Source organism: Homo sapiens, chromosome 6, assembly GCF_000001405.40.
Source record: "Homo sapiens chromosome 6, GRCh38.p14 Primary Assembly".
NCBI classification, from domain to species: Eukaryota; Metazoa; Chordata; class Mammalia; order Primates; family Hominidae; genus Homo; species Homo sapiens.
This window is the reverse complement of record NC_000006.12, coordinates 37,442,167-37,459,380: the sequence shown is the minus strand read 5'-3', so window position 1 is coordinate 37,459,380 and position 17,214 is coordinate 37,442,167. Positions and strand designations below refer to the sequence as shown.

Sequence of the window (17,214 nt, the reverse complement as noted above, 5' to 3'; positions counted from 1 at the left end):
CCAAAGGAGTTGACCAGTCAAAAGTCATCAACTCGTGGAACTTTCTCTTTAAGACCCAAGTTGTGTTTAAGGCACCTACATTTAGGCATCAATTTTGTAATAAGGACTGTTCAGAAAGGACTTAGGATTTGCTGTCAAATTACAATCAACATAGAACAGAGGGACTGCTGTGGGTTGCTGAGCTGTCTGCAACCCAGTGCATTCTGCACCTGGCACAGAGGGCGAGAGATGGGCATTGGGTTTATATTTGTTAAAAACCCTGCCAGTTCTCAGCCAGAGATCAGGCAGTTTCATTATCTCCTGCCACCACAAAAGCAGAGTGTTCCTGAAAGGAGGAATTAATAGGGCCTTGATGAGAATCTGCTGAGGGAGTGTTTGACCTGTATTCTGCAGGCCCAGGGTAAAAAGGGATAGTCCAGAGGGAACCAAGATTCTGACATGAACTGTGAAGCCCAGGGTAAGAGACCTAGGAAAGAAAATATGGCATGTGGATAACAACTGCTTCTGACCTGAAGTCCCCATAGAGGGGCTGTCCCTCATACCTCCTAGTACCCTCCTCAATGTCCCTACCATAGTAGGGTTCGAAGAGTTCACTGGAAGCAGAGTAGAAGTCCTCCAGCTTGAAGTCATTAGGGCCCTTCAAAGTCATTCCAAAGCCCTTTGCATGCCACTTCTTCCTCCACAGCACATACTCTGAGAAGCCACCTGGGCCTGCGCAGACATCAGCAAAGTACAGAAGCTCAGCTTCCCGGTCCTTCACCAGTGGCTTCTGCAAAGGCAAGTGGAGGACAGGAGAGGAAGGAAAACAAGACAGCTCAATGGGCAACAGGAAGGAGAATGCAGGGAGAGTAAAATAAGCCTTTCGGCAAGTACAATCCAGAGCTCCCACCAGAGCTACAGCACCCAGGAAATGTATCTTCTGGTGATTAACACCCTTTAGTGTTGCCTCACCCACCCTCAAAATACCCACAATGCCTATCACATCACCAGGCCTAGCTCAGACTCCTCATAAAAACATCTTCATGGAGCCAGGCGCGGTGGCTCAAGCCTGTAATCCCAGCACTTTGGGAGGCCAGAGAGGCAGATAGCCTGAGGTCAGGGGTTTGAGACCAGCCTGGCCAACGTGGTAAAACCCTGTCTCTACTAAAAATACAAAAAATTAGCCAGGTGTGGTGGCGCACACCTGTAAACCCAGCTACTCGGGAGGCTGAGGCATGAGAATTGCTTGAACCCGGGAGGCAGAGGTTGCAGTGAGCTGAGATCGCGCCACTGCACTTGAGCCTGGGCGACAGACCGAGACCCTGTCTCAACAAAAACAACAAAAAACATTTATGGGTATCTGACTACATTTTTTATCTCTCAGAGTGTTTTCCTCACCATATCCTGCCTTTCAAGAGTCCTACTGAACAGAATATGCCCCACATATACAGATAGGGAAAAAGAGGCACCAAGATACAAAGTCACAAAGTAATCTGTTCACAGCCAGTCTGCAACAAAGCTAAATCAGGGTCCAGTTGGCCTAGCCACTAGACTCAGGTCTTCCTGTCCAACCAAAGGCTGGGGGGCTCTAACACCCTCTCCCAGCCACAGGAACCTTCCTTTTCCCATCATAGCCTCTGTCTTCCTTTCTCCCCTTCCTCCTTGGCTCTCCCAACCACCTTTTAAAAAATCCCAAATAACTTTTTATTTTGGAATAATTTTTGATTTACAGAAAAGTTGCCAAGATAGTACCCCTCACCCAGTTTCCAATTTTGTTAACACCTTACACCATGGTATGTTTGGCAAAACTAAGAAACCAACATTTGTACCTTACTATTAACTAAACTCTAGACTTCATTTAGATTTTCACTAATGTTCTTTTTCTGTTTGGGATCCAATCCAAGACACCACACTGCATTTGGTCTCTCTCCTTTTTGCACTCCCTTTTTTCTTCTCCTGCCCAGCGCTGGGTGTGGGGTTGGGGCAGGGCACAGTCAGAAGCTGACAAGACAGAGAGGGAAGGAAATACTGTTGTGCAGCAACAGCAGCTTCCAGGCAACGCTCGGAGCACCCAGCCAACTCAGGACTGACTAATCATCATTTGAATTTTGGCATAATTACATTTGTGGCCCCTTGAGTAGCTTTCGCTCTCTCTCCCCAGGTTTTTTTGTTTTTTTTTTTTTTGGCAACGAGGTCTCACTCAGCCCATGCTGGAGTACAGTGGTACAATAATAGCTTACTGAAACCTTGAACTCCTGAGCTCAGGCAATCCTCTTTCTTCAACCTCCTGAGTAGCTGGGACCCCTGACACACACCACCACGCTCAACAAATTTTTTTTTTTTTTTAGAGACAGGATCTTGGTGTATTGCCCAGGCTGGCCTCAAACTCCTGGACTGAAGCAATCCTCCCACTTCAGCCTCCCACAGTGTTGGAATTACAAGTGTAAGTCACCATGCCCAGCCTAGCTTTATCTCTTAACCTCACATTTATGCTGAACCCAGTACTGGACCATATTGTATGTTTATACTTCTCTTACACAAATGCTAGGTATGCTCTTACCCACACCTGAGCCCTAGACAGTGAAATTCTACCCACCCTCCACAGCAGACAGGATGAACCATTTGCACTGGTGACAACAACAAAAGGTTGAGTTCTACAAGTGAGTAACTGCAAAAGACTATAGTTGGCCTCAGACCATGATGAACACTCAAGCCAGAAGGGGCTTAGGGACCTCAGTCTTCCCTCTCTACAGGTTCGGCATGGCTGAGTGCTGGTCTAGAGTTCTGCAGCTGCTAGATAACGATCAGAAAGCTTTAGGGGAAACAGTCCCAAGAAAGAAATAGACATACTAATGTTTACAACCCAATCACTTCTAGGTGAGGTGGGCCTTTCTTCTGATGATAGCTATCTGGCTTTATCAAAATAGTGAAAAAGTCTCTGGAGAAAGTGACTTTAGCTAAAAATAAATGTCATCATCCCGTGACAAGCCCACTCCAGGCATGCTGGGTCTTAATCGTTCTTTCCCCACTTCCTTACTAAGCCGCCCCAGCATTCTTTGTTCCTGAGCCATCGATTATTCATCTTTTTGGATTATATTCATTTGCACACAAAAAAGACCTAATGGTATTTGCCAAGAACATTATGTAGCATCTTCGAGTCAGCATGGTGGTAATGTGGCAGGGGTCACAAGTTTTAGCCCTACACATACTGCAAAGAGGGAAAAGCAAGGTTCCTTGCCACTGGCCGTGCCCTCTAAGTGAACCACTGGTCCAAAGGAAGACTGGGAGAAGGATGCGGAATGATCGATGCGAACACCTCACCCCTGCAAAGGGGGCATGAATATGACCTCGTTCTGTGATTTCAAGATGTATGGCCCTTATAGGTCATGGCCAGGAAGTCTTTTCACAGGAAGGACAGCTGGCGTTCTTAGCTCTGCTACTTACTGACTGTGCAGTTAAGGACAAGCACACAATTTAAGTCATTAAGCTTGAGCTTGCTCAGTTATAAATTGGGACTGATACAGGTATTTCTCCAGGCCGTTGTAGGACTAAATAAAGTATCCTATATTGAAGAGCTTTACAAACTGTAAAGTATTAAACAATTAATGCAAGATGATATTGTACTCAATCAGATCAACTTCCTCAGAGTCAAAACTCTTATCCTTTTCCATGTTTTTCTCTTTCCAGTGGCGAGTACAGCAGCACTGCACACTCAATGGAAATTAGACAAATGATGTCTAATTTCCTCAGCTAGGACTGAAACTTAGAGATCTACCTTCAGTTGTCTTCTGCAATGCTTCACAGACAATGTATTCTTGTCTCAACAACATTCCCAGGCACTCGAACCCCTGACATAATGTAACAGTTTATAATATGCTTCCATATACTCCAAGGATCTAAATTTCCCTCCGTCCTTTGTCTCTTCCAGTTCTTGCTTATAGCTTCTTTATTTTCCTCCCCTTGCCCCCTTTCTCCTTTACCATAACCTGCAGCACCACAGACCTACTTAAAAACTTCAGAGTTGGCTGGGCGCGGTAGCTCACGCGTGCAATCCCAACACTTTGGGAGGCCAAGGCAGGCGGATCACCTTAGGTCGGGAGTTTAATACCAGCCTGACGTGGAGAAACCCCGTCTCCACTAAAAATACAAAATTAGCCAGACATGGTGGCACATGCCTGTAATCCCAGTACTTGGGAGGCTGAGGCAGGAGAATCACGTGAACCCGAGAGGCGGAGGTTGAGGTGAGCTGAGATCGCGCCATCGCACTCCAGCCTGGGCAACAACAGCGAAACTCCGTCTCGAAAAAAAAAAAAAACTTCAGTCTGCTCTCTCCATCACTTGTCATCACCTCTTAACATCTTCACATTCCAAGCTTCAAATTCTCCTGCTCTTAGTCTATAATTTGCCTGATCCAAGAGCCATTATGACCCTAGCAAACATGGGTGTGTGCCTGGGCCTTCAGCCACTCCCTCTTCTGCTGGGGACTGCTCTAGTGTCTCTGCTGGCCTGAAAACCACACCAAGCCTGTGGGGCTTGGCTGTAACTCTGGTCCTCAGGGGAAAACGGAAATGAAAAGAGAAAATAAAACACCAGGGGCTCGAGAGAAATCACTTTTTTTATAGTGAAGCATAGAGAAACATCTCTGAAAGGGCAATTCTCCGTGGCCACTAACAATCAATTCAGGTCAAGAAGCTGCCTGAAGCATTACAAACACGGCTGCCTTTTCCTATGTAACTAACACCTCTACCCTCAACCTGAATGGTACAACCCTGGTGCCTACTTCATTTTCATGACAGCAAAAGGCAATAACCAGATACCAGCTGCTGGAGGCATTTGTATACAAAAGCCAAAAAAGACACTGTGACTTCCCATCAGCTTGACAGAGCTCCTCTGCCAGGCAGGGGTTTAAAGGAAATCATTTGGAGCTCAGAAAATTAAATCAACATTATATCAACCTAATTTTCTCAAGATGCTAATTCCAAGAGCCCTTTTGTGCTGCCTGCTGGTACTGGAGAATGGGAAGGGAGACCTGGGAGTGAAAAATGAGTAATGGCTGGAGGGGCTACATGCCAGTTTTGCCAGCAAGGAGGAAGCAGTTAGGTAGGTGGAGCTGAAACATTAAAGAACTTGGAAAACAAGTTTCTTTAGCCAGTGGATAATCAGGGGGTCTAGTGGAATGAGGGTGAGTGAAGCAGAAACAGGTTTGGGGATAGCTGGCTCCTGGCCCTATCACTGTCAAAGAAAAGTAACTTTCTAGGACCGGGTAAAAATGCTTTGAAACCCTGAAGGGAATTCTAGAATGAAATTTCCTTTTTTTCTTTCTCTATCACTATGGCGAGTCTATGTTCAGAGAAATGAGATGCAGCAGAGTAGAAACTCACTTTGCTTTACCACTTCTTGAAAAGGGCCAAAGCCTTATAATTATGATCCCACGCAAAGCTTGTTCAGAGAGGCAGAGAAGGAAAGTGGCCCAGTCTAAAATTACAGTCTTAGTGCTGGGACAAATCTTAAGAGCCTTTTGGTTCTACCCTAGCCCTCTGGCAGGTTAGTACGGCTCATTTCAGAATGAGGGAGCTGAGGCCCAAAGAAGGTATAAACTTAAGTAATCCATCCTGCTTCATAAATGCTATGTCATGTCCCTCCTCACCACATTCCAACAACACAGGCTAGATTTTCAGATACAACACTGATTTTAAATAGATCAATGAAAATGCCCACTGAAATGCCCACATTTCATCCAACACTCAAACCATATTCCCCTCTCATTACCAGAAACAGCACCCAAATCAGGTGATGTCACCAAGTTTCAATTTGGAAAATAAGCTTGCTATATAAAAACAGTATTCACCCTTCCACTCTACCTTCTGTAGGGTTAGTGGCTCGGATTCCAGGACTGAAGCCCTGAAGACAACTGCTTCACTCCTGGGACCACAGAAGCACTGTGGGACCCTATCTGAGGAGCTCAAAGCAAAGTATCTCCATCACACAGTCAGAATACTCTCCTAGCATTGAACAAATGGCAATGGCTGAGCCACTGAAACTTAAGCCCTCTTAGCACCATGAATTCAGAAGCAGAATCTTGTTCTCACCCCATAAGAGTCCCGCGGATTTGTGAACATGCGATCAAATACAAAATCCATGTTAGCCATCTTCATTGCTGCCCTGCAATAAAGCAAGACAGAAAAGTACTAGATGTACTAGGCTCAATTGAAAAGGTAGAGCAGGGAGCATCAGGGGAGGGGAGGGAAATGTCAGCAAACCTGTTTAGAAAGAAGACTCCTCGGATCATCTCATAGGGATTGGCCCGAGTCCGAGCTCGCCGCATCTCTTCCCCATCCAAGACATCAAACACGCTCTGCCCAGAGAATCAGAACCTCAAGGTGAATTCCAGGATAGGAAAGGGACCTTAAGACCCTGCAGTGCCCAACTCACAGCCCTCCAAGGAACAAGATTCCTGTGGCATCTCAGCTCTGAAATGTCTCACTGTGTGACCCTACACAGGCTGCTCAATAACTCTCTCAACTACCTTGCCGGTAAATTGGTTAAAAAAAAAAAATGTAAACAGGTGCCTGGCACATGGCAAGTGTTTAAAAAACGGCACCCGCTGCTACACACAGAGCCACCTCTGGGCATTGCTAATCCTCATAGTAAATCTGTTTCTCCATCCCATACCAGCAGCTACTCTCCAAGGGATCAAAGTTCTGGTATGAAGGCTTACCTGACTAGACCTCACTTAGAGAGAGGAGAAACAAATAAACAAGACTAGGGTTTTCTGATGGCACCTACCACACAGTAGCAATCCCTTCTCTCAAACTCCCCTGACCAATTTCCTCTCTAGATAAAGAAATCCTCACATTACCTGAGCTCCAGTCACCTTATGGATATTCCCAACCCTATGCCTGCCAAAAAATAAAATCTGTGAGGCTACTCTGAGGCCTGCCTTTTTCACCAACCCATTTCCTCCTCAGAGTTTCCCTGGCTCATTCTGCCCACACACAATGTGATTCTCAATTAAGACAAAAAGTGTCAAGGGGAGGCTAACATTTACCCAGGTACTTCACACCCACTATTTCATTTAGCTCTCACAACAACCCTGAGAAAAGAGTATTTTCTCCTCATTTTATAGATGAGGAAACTCAAACTCAGAGAGAGTAAAACCACCGGGCCAAGGTCACACAGCAAAGAGTTGCAGATCTTGGATTTGAATCCTGGTCTATCTGATGCTAAGGAATGACTCCAAACCTTTTACTACACCAGGCCCTCTCAGGATTACAATGAACAGACCCACTGAGATTAGGCAGATCCTTTCTTGGCTGCTGACCACAGGGACAGCACAACACCCACAGGGCAGAACAGTCACCCAGGAAAAAGACAATTTGCAGATATGAACCAAGCTATGCATCTGATCTCCAGCAAAAATCTTAACTTTAGCTTCCCACAACCCACTCAAAGGAGAAATGGAAAAGTCCAGCAAATCACCTCCCACAAGGTTTTCATTATCTGGTTCTAGCCACAAGACCTTACCTTACACTGCAACACACTGTGAAGCAGCTCTTCCCCACAAAACTCTGTTTCATCTTCAATAATCATCTTTCTCTACAGGGAGAAAAAAGCAGTAAGTAATGACCACGTGTGACTGCAATTGTCGGGGATGAATGAAGAAATTAGGGTTCCAAGTAAGTAGAGCAAGAAGGGACTTGGTTCTCTGCCAAGAAACATCAATCCCTGAAGGGTGGGAAAGAGAAAATCCTAAATCCCTCTGGCTATTCTCCAGATGGCTGTGAGATGAAGCACCCCCTCACCCCCACCCCAGGAGCTCTGAGTAGAGCACCATATGGACACAAGACTCATGAATGCTGAGGCTGGGAACACCAAACAGGAAGGAGACATTCAAGCTGTCTAACCCTGGAGCATGGAGGCAGAAGGATGGGGAATGCCTCAAATGACAAAAGCTTGTCCTTCCACCAGGAAGCCTCTCTGTGATGAGTAGAAATACATGATACCAGGCACTGACCTGGTAGCATTTCAGAAAACAGGGACGCTAAGGGGTCTCACAGGGATATCAAGTGCAACCCCAAAATGAGTGAAGCCACCTCTAAACCAGTAAAACTCAATCTCTTTGGTCTCAGGTTTTACACTCATAAAAATTATTGAGGATCCTGAAGAATTTTTGTTTATGCGGGATAGATAATAGACAGGTAATCTATTATCTAGAATTCAAATAATTATATTATTAAAAATCAAAACAGATTTTAAAAATATTTTTAAATTCAGTTTAAAAGGCTAATGTTAACATAAATATTTTTCAGAAATATATTTTCAGAAAAATAACATTTCCAAAAAAAAAATGAGTGAGGAGAGTGGTACTGTTTTCCATTTTTGCAAATTTCTTCAGCATCTGTCTTAACAGAAGGCCAGATTTTCCTCTTTGCTTTTTCATTCAATCTGTTGTAATATCACATCATAGCCTCTGGAAAACTCCACTGAACACTTGTGAGAGAATGAGGGTGAAAAGTGCAAATAACTTTTCAATATCATTATGAAAATAGCTTTGCCCTTGTGGACCCCCTGAAGGGGTCTTAGAGATCCCCGGGAGCACATACACTTTGAGAACTGCCCTCTAGACCATATTGATTTGGTAGCCATCTACTTTATTCTCACAATTTTCCAGAAGAAGATTAAACAAATTCCCTCTGTAACAATTCCCTCATTACTTTCTGAGGGCAGGGACAATGTCTTTTCATCTAGCAGTGATCAGAATACACAGATATGTATGATAAGCCACTTCAAAAGGCATCCATGAAGAAGACAGAGGTTATACATTTTATCTGCCTTACAATTTAAATAACTTAGAGAAAAGAAAAAACCCTGTCATATCTCCAAGGGGCATACTTGTAAAGCTCATGACACTCCCTCTTGACACAGTTTTATTCCTACCAACATGAATGGTCAGATTCACATTTTTCTTAAACTGCAAGTGTATGTAAATACCAGACTCGAGCAAGTGAAAAGTCAAGAGAATGCCAAGAAGTCAGGGTACGTTTTCCTGAAAGCCTACCTTTCCCACCACCATCCAATCGCTCATTTCCTGAGTGTCAGGAATTTCAGTGGTACATTCTGGAAACCATGACACCTGCTCACAAGCACTGGGCTGCAAACAAAAGAGAGGCTAGTAAGACAGATATGACACACCCTCAAAGCTAAACCCCAACTCATCAGGACTTCCCCAAAACAATCAAAAGGGACTGAGACAGACCGAGAAGGGTGCAGGTTGCTGAAGCCAAATGCAGTGGTCAGACATGAGACGTGAGAGCCAGAATTCTAAAGTTTAACTTCTAAAGCCAGCTCCAATTCTGGTTAGAATCCTTAGAAACTTCTCAAACCTAAGGTTTCTTTCATTTGTTCCATTATTATTTAATGAATACCTACTATGTGTTAAGCACTCAGAATGCAGAGTTAAATAAGACATGGCCCTTGGCAAAAGGGGTTTGCAATCAGAGCAGTGGAGACACAGAAGTAAACAGGCAGTTATCGCATACAATGTAGGTCTATGACAAGATAAGTATATCAGAAAGACTTAATGGCAATGAGTCTCATCTCCTGATTCCTTTCAAAGTGTTACTCAAAAAACAATCCAGAAACTGGTAAACAGGATTCCTAGCCCATTCATTCTAAGGGAGAACAAAAACTGACATCTCTAATGGGTGCTTCCTCTTAATTTTTCAATTACTTTCCTATCAGGCCAAAACGGTGCATTAGGATCATCTGCAGTGCTTCTAAAGAGTACTGATGCAGCTGGGTGTGGTGGCTCACGCCTGTAATCCCAGCACTTTGGGAGGCTGAGGTGGGCAGATCACTTGAGGTCAGGCGTTCAAGACCAGCCTGGCCAACATGGTGAAACCCCGTCTCTACTAAAAATACAAAAATTAGCTGGGCATGGCAGTGCACATCTGTAAACCCAGCTACTTGGGAGGCTGAGGCGGGAGAATCCCTTGAATCCGGAAGGTAGAGGTTGCAGTGAGCCGAGATTGCGCCACTGCACTCCAGCCTGGGTGACAGAACAAAACTCCGTCTTGAAAACAAAATAACATAACATAACATAACATAACATAACATAACATAACATAACAAAACATAAAATAGTACTGATGCCTGGAGCTGGGCCCAGTAGCTCACACCTGTAATTCCAATGCTTTGGGAGGCCAAGGTAGAAGGACTGCTTGAGGCCAGGAGTTTAAGACCAGTCTGGGCAACACAGCAAGACTCTGTCTCTACTAAAAAAAAGTCTAAAAAATTAGCCAGGCATGGTGGCACAGGCCTGTAGTTGTAGATACTCAGAAGGCTGAGGTGAGAGGATATCTTGCGCCCAGGATTTCAAAGTTGCAGTTAACTGTGTTTGTGCCACTGCATTCCAGCCTGGGCAACAGCGCAAGACCTTGTCTCAAATAAAATAAAAAATAAAAAATAGTACTGATGCCTGAGACCCATCTCCAGAATATAAGATTCTGCTGGTCTGAAGTGAGGCCTGGGGATAAGTTTTCAGAAGTCCCCAGATGATTCTACTGTGCAGGCAGCGCTAAGTGCCACCAGGATAGAGAAACATGGATTATAAAACCTAAACAGGTGGCTAACCTGCATGGCAGCTTCACATATTGGCTCCCAAGCAAGTGTGGAGAAGAGATTCACCATTGCAAATTGAAGCAATGTGATTAAAAGTAATATTACATGCTCTGAAAGGCATAAAATGGTATCACAATGCAAGGTCTTGAGGGCAAGCCAACCAGCATCAACAGAGACAAAGTTGAAAAGAAAAATTACTGAAGCCTTTTGTCCATGAATCTGGCAGTGAATCATGGCTTCTTCTCCTGGTCAAATCTATCATGTTTAAGCATAAAGGTGATAGAGTTGGTTATAAATTATAAACTCTAGAGAACAAGAAGCTCATATAAACTTGGAAAGAAAAAGCAGACTCAATGTCCCTATGGAAGTCTGATTATTATAACTACCTACAGAGTGGACTTTATCCAGAGGGTCATACTCTGTCCTCCACATTCCTAGGCTGCAGTAGCCACTGAGCATTTATCCGTGGTAACCCCATGATTGGATATCCACCCCTGGACACCCAGACTCACCTACTGTAAAGAAGTGGCTGCCAACTGACACTTGACCTCTTTTTTTTTTTTTTTTTTTTGAGACGGAATCTCTCACTGTTGCCCAGGCTGGAGTGCAGGGGCGCAATCTCAGCTCACTGCAAGCTCCGCCTCCCAGGTTCATGCCATTCTCCTGCCTCAGCCTCCCGAGTAGCTGGGACTACAGGTGCCCGCCACCATGCCCGGCTAATTTTTTGTATTTTTTAGTAGAGACGGGATTTCACCGTGTTAGCCAAGATGGTCTTGATCTCCTGACCTTGAGATCCACCTGCCTTGGCCTCCCAAAGTGCTGGGGTTACAGGCGTGAGCCACCATGCCTGGCCCCACTTGACCTAACTTTTACTTACAAACGTTTACTTACTTATAGGGCTTTTTTTTTTTTTTGAGACAAAGTCTCAGTCTGTTGCCCAGGCTGGAAGGCTAGAGTGCAGTGGCACGATCTCTGCTCACTGCAACCTCTGCTTCCCAGGTTCAAGTGATTCTCCTGCCTTAGCCTCTCTAGCAGCTGGAATTACAGGTGTGAGTCCCACACCTGGCTAGTTTTTGTATTTTTAGCAGAGATGGGGTTTCGTCATGTTGGTCAGGCTGGTCTTGAACTCCTGACCTCAGGTGATCCACCCGCCTCGGCCTCCCAAAGTGCTGGGATTATAGGCGTAAGCCACCATGCCCGGCCTATAGGGTGATTTCAGATTTTGAGTTTAGTGAAGTTAGTTCAACTTCTGCCCCACTGAAAGGATGTGGACTCTTGTTTTAACACGAATGAAGACATAGAAACCATCAGGTACTTCTGAGATGAAAGCCCACAACCAGCAACCAGCAGCAGGTATCTACCCTGTTCCGCATTGCCAGTCTGCTGGTCTCAACGCCCACAACTACAAGGCAACAGCGAGACCGGCCCCAGAACCCATGAGCCCCTCACTCGTCAGAATCTTACTCAGAAGACTTATTAGGCTTTTATCACATGCAGATTCACGGGACTTCTTTCCTGAACTGGAACATTAGGGAGACAAATAAAATATCAATTTTCCAGAGTTCAGAGCCACATCTGAAGCTGAACTACAGCAACTATGCAGAAAGCTAGATGTTTGAGTTCCATTTTCTCTAGTTTCAACTCTGTAATGGTAATATCTCAATGTTATTTTTAGGTGTTTTTATTGTACCCACTACAGATCCTTTACGGAATAAGATAGGACATAAATAAATGAATAAAATAAAATCTCACATTGTCTGTGCCATGAAAAGGGATAATGAGAGTTTCCTTTGGTCTTCAGGGTGAAAACAAACTGGTACCCTAGTAAGCAGACTAAACCCACAGTAGAAAAGCAATGTGGCATAAAAAAGCACCTATTTAGAACCTGGATGGCACAAACCTGGGGAAGTACAAGGATCTTCTTAGAAGGCACCTACTCCAGTTACTCACACAGTGAGAGAGTGGGTGCTCCCTTGGCCTGCCTGAACACTTTCAGCAGAGAGCACACTGCCTCACAAGGTATCCTAGTCCACTAGTGGAGAGCTGTAACTATTTATTAAAGTTTTTATGGAGCCAAACTCTGCCTTTCAAGCATCTTCTACCCGTTGGTCTTAGACAGTCCTATAATGCAACAGGAAATCCACATCCCACCATATCTCCCCCAGCCTTCTGTTTTCCATTCTGGATATCCCCAGTACTTTCCACGTAAAAAACTAATTCCACTTTGCTCATACTGCCTCTGGAGATTTCTAGTTTGTTGATATGGCTTCTTAAAGCCATGCATCCAAAAACACAAGTGGCTTTTCCATCTCCTCCTCACTTTAACACTTACCTCTGGCTCATCTCGCCAGTCCACGTTCAGCTCCTGGTCAAAGCCCCGGAGTGTCAGACCCAAGCCTCTTCGACCTTTCTGACTGGAAGCCTCAACGATGTCCTTCCGACCCTGGCTGTATTTACCCAATCCTTCACCTTCCCTGAAGCCCATCTTGGCCTGAAAAAGAGAAGTAGTGGAGCACAATTAATTAGGTTCAACAGACATTTATTTAGCCCCATCACATGCCAAACAGTGTGCTAAATCCTAAGAAAAATAGATGATTAAAGTCTAAAGTTTGTCTTAGCCTAATGAAGAAAAGAAGCATAAATAAATAACTGCAGTATAACTGTGGGCCCAGTGGCTGGCTGTTCTGGAGGTTAAAGTCTAGGGCAACCAGAAATTGGATAAATGAGAAGGGACCTCATAGCCTAATTAAAAGCACCCAGAGTACTTCATGAATCTCTCATTGGACATTTGCTAATTTGTCTGATTAAGTGAGAAGCAGACCTAGAGTAGACTTGATAAAGAGAACATAATTTAAAATGGAACCGCTTCAAGCTGTAACTTCTACCTTACCCTTATCCAGTCAAACAGCCTTACTAGGCAAGGATAAGTGGCTTGGCAGGAGCCCACTTAAGAGATTAAAAACTTGCCTCATGTAAAAGTGAGGTATGGGACCGGGCGCGGTGGCTCAAGTCTGTAATCCCAGCACTTTGGGAGGCCGAGAAGGGCGGATCACGAGGTCAGGAGATAGAGACCATCCTGGCTAACACGGTGAAACAAACCCTGTCTCTACCAAAAATACAAAAAAATTAGCCAGGCATGGTGGCAGGCACCTGTAGTCCCAGCTACTCAGGAGGCTGAGGCAGGACAATGGCATGAACCCAGGAGGTGAAGCTTGCAGTGAGCCGAGATCACACCACTGCACTCCAGCCTGGGCGACAGAGCAAGACTCCATCTCAAAAAAAAAAAAAAAAAAAAAAGGTGAGGTATGGGAGGACTATAATACTCTGGGACAGAAACAGTTTTTTAAATGCCACAACTATCTGTAAGTTCTCACTAAACTTTAGAGTTACTGGGCCCAGGTATATACCCAAAGATTAGAGACTTGAATCCCAAACCCCACAGACTCCTGCCTAATACAAAAAAAACTGCAATCCTAAGAAGATCTAAATTTCCCTGGAGGGTCTATATTCCCTCTGAAAGGGGTATTACCAGCTAAAGAGCTGGATGGAATTCCTATGGTAGCCACAAATACTTCTCCCAGGTCAAACAGGCTGACTGAGTCACAAGCCTTCCCATCTTTAACTTCCCCAAATCTTATAGCCTGCAAACTAGAATCCTGACCTATGGCTTTAGCAGTGACAATTCTCATTCTTAAATGAATCTAAGAGAAAATGGAGGGGTCAACTATAATATTTCTTTCTTTTTTTTTATTTTTTGAGACAGAGTCTCACTTTGTTAATTAGGCTGGAGTGCAGTGGCGTGATCTCAGCTCACTGCAAGCTCCACCTCTCAGGTTCAAGCGATTCTCCTGACTCAGCCTCCTGAGGAGCTGGGATTACAGGCACCTGCCACCATGCCTGGATAATTTTTTGTATTTTTAGTAGAGACGGGGTTTCACCATGTTGGCCAGGCTGGTCTTGAACTCCTGACCTCAAGTGAGCCACCTGCCTCAGCCTCCCAAAGTGCTGGGATTACAGACGTGAGCCACTGCGCCTGGCCCAACTATAATATTTCTAAAGCAAGACAGAAGGTAAACTTGGATCTCTCTAATGTTTGCACATACACTAAGGAATATGAGCAGGTCTTCCTAGTCACCATTCTTCTTGTGATACATCAATTAGGTATAAAAGTTAGGAAAGATAATTGGGCCTTCTTTCAGAAAAAGAATAAATGGAATACTTCCATTTATTTTAGGCATCTGGGAGTGAACAGGATTTTAGTCGTTTCTTTTGACACCACTCACTAGAGCAAAAATTCACAGCATGAAGCTTCTTTACCCACTGACAGACATCCATGTTTAGGGAAGTATAGTCACACATGTTAGTAATAAGAATTCATTACTATGGATATGAAAAGGTGATCCAGTCCAGATAGAACAGCAGAAACAGGCCTAAGCAGTTGCTGCCTATAGATGATACAAATGTGATAGATACTTCTATCAAGAAGTGGGTCACACTCTGCTAAATTTCAGTAGCTGAAAAGCAAAGGAAAAACCTATGGCCAAACTTTTCTTCTTTTCATACAAATACAAATTGCCCTTCTTTCACTCTGCTGGTGGGGCTTGAGAAACCCAACCCAAGCGCTGACATACCATAAGCTTCTGGGAGACGCTATTATACATGGAATAGCGAGAAGAAGTTCCTTCCACAAGAGAGTCTGCTTTGAATGCATCGTCAAAAGAGTCAGAGCTGTGTTGTTTCCCCTCGGTCTCACTATCAGACCCACTAAGGCTTGTAGTAGATGCTGAAAAAGAAAAAGGAAAATGTTTAGGTAGGTTTATGGCACAAAATAGCCTCCAGACATCCAAGTTTCATTTATTCAACTACTGTTCAGTATACACAATGCACATATAAAGTTCATTAAATGACCCAAGGTCAAATCTATTTTCTACCTCTTACTAGCTAGGTAATCTTGGGCAAGTCACTACTGAAAGTTCCTAATGGACTTGACACAATGGGAGCTCAAAAATAACAGTTTTCCTTCCCCACCCTTTCAATTTCCTCCACTATAAAACTGAGATAGTAATACCTGCCTCACAGGATTGTTTAAAGATTAAATGAAATAACGTATTTGAAAATGCATTGTTGGCTGGGCATGGTGGCTCACGCGTAATCCCAGTACTCCAGGAGGACGCTGAGGTGGGCGGATCACTTGAGGTCAGGAGTTCAAGATCAGCCTGGCCAACATGGTGAAACCCTATCTCTAATAAAAATACAAAAATTAGCTGGGTGTGGTAGTGCGTGCCTGTAATCCAAGCTACTTGGGAGGCTGAGGCAGGAGAATTGCTTGAACCCGGGAGGCAGAAGTTGCAGTGAGCCGAAATTGCGCCACTGCATGCCAGTCTGGGCAAAAAGAGTGAGACTCCATCTCAAAAAAAAAAAAAGAAAGTACATTGTCAAATATAAAGTGTATTTACTGAAGATATGATTGTTATTTCTGCTGCTGGTGGTTATTATTAGAACATCAATATCCAAACACTGATGCCTGATTCCATTTTCAACGATTCCATTATAAGGCTAACATTTTTATTTCTTATAATTGCAAAAAGAGCTTTTGGAAGGAACGATATACAAGAAGACCAATAAAAGTGATTATTCACACATTCAGGGGTTAGCATTTGGAGACAGAATACCAAAACAATTACTTGGAACTAGTGAAAGCAAAAGTGAAACTTGATTTACATTTTTATACCACGAAAGTTTACACTGGCTATCTTTTTATATTTTTTGACTTATGAACCATGTGAATATATTATCTATTAAAATTTAAAATAAATATGAAAATATTGACTTAGCAATGTGGCATAATTCCTTTGAAGAAGAAGGGACACCACTCAGAAAGGGTGTTGATTCAAAACTTGGCTGCTTGTGAGAAGTACTGAAGGAAAGTCACAGACGGCAGTGTGTAAAACATTTTTTAATAGACCCGAGGTGGTCACTATTCAGGTATTTCTAACTTGAAGAATACATTATAATTCTGAAGCCAATCTTAAGTGATCCATCCATTTCCCTACCAGAACCAAAACCTGCTAAGGGTTGACATTCAAGAAGAACAAAGCTTTCCCCAGCACTCCAGGCCTAACTGATTATCCCTTCCACTGTGCTCCAGTAACACCAGTGTCATTGGCACAGCACTCATCACATTGCCTTAGAGCCAGTTATTGTTTGCCACTTGCTGTCCCCATTGGACAGGGTCACTCCTGGAGAGCAGGAACTATGTCACAGTCTGTACCCAACACCTGGACTGAGGCTTTCCATTTAATAGAAATTAATTAAATGATTACTGTAGTAAATGTAAAGATGTGTCAGCCAAGTATCACTTTCCTAAGGACCTACAGAGTATATGACTCCTTGAGACATTTCCTCTTACAAATAGTGCAAGCTGTTCAGGCCTCAGAAGTTTAAGGATGAGAATGGGATCTCTATATCTTAACAGAGAACGGAGCCCTCCTGGGCTATGATTTAGCTTCCCCACCAGTAGGTTGAATTAGGACATCTGTCATAGTTCAGAACACTGATACCGTTTAAAAGATCAGACTACTATACTGGTTCAGCACCTATTCTATAAAAGATCAT

The 17,214-nt window shown here is 43.8% G+C and overlaps 1 protein-coding gene across 3 annotated transcripts in view, besides 1 other annotated feature; it reads right to left on the bottom strand.

The window, feature by feature from the left end:
• Nucleotides 1–17,214, bottom strand: part of CMTR1 (cap methyltransferase 1) — a 57,524-nt gene that overhangs the window by 22,128 nt on the left and 18,182 nt on the right. For all 3 annotated transcript variants that reach the window (XM_047418463.1, XM_047418462.1, NM_015050.3), the window contains 7 exons: nt 15,231–15,382; nt 12,932–13,090; nt 9,038–9,130; nt 7,504–7,575; nt 6,240–6,334; nt 6,069–6,141; nt 571–769 (listed from right to left, as the gene is read on the bottom strand). In XM_047418463.1, the coding sequence (XP_047274419.1) occupies nt 571–769; nt 6,069–6,141; nt 6,240–6,334; nt 7,504–7,575; nt 9,038–9,130; nt 12,932–13,090; nt 15,231–15,382 (843 nt within the window). The remainder of the gene's footprint in view (nt 1–570; nt 770–6,068; nt 6,142–6,239; nt 6,335–7,503; nt 7,576–9,037; nt 9,131–12,931; nt 13,091–15,230; nt 15,383–17,214) is intronic.
• Nucleotides 7,322–7,522: a silencer, noted in NCBI's record as "peak5792 fragment used in MPRA reporter construct". NCBI's record gives its function as "represses an SCP1 promoter by STARR-seq MPRAs in K562 erythroleukemia cells {active_cell/tissue: K562}" and the evidence as "EXISTENCE:reporter gene assay evidence [ECO:0000049][PMID:32103011]".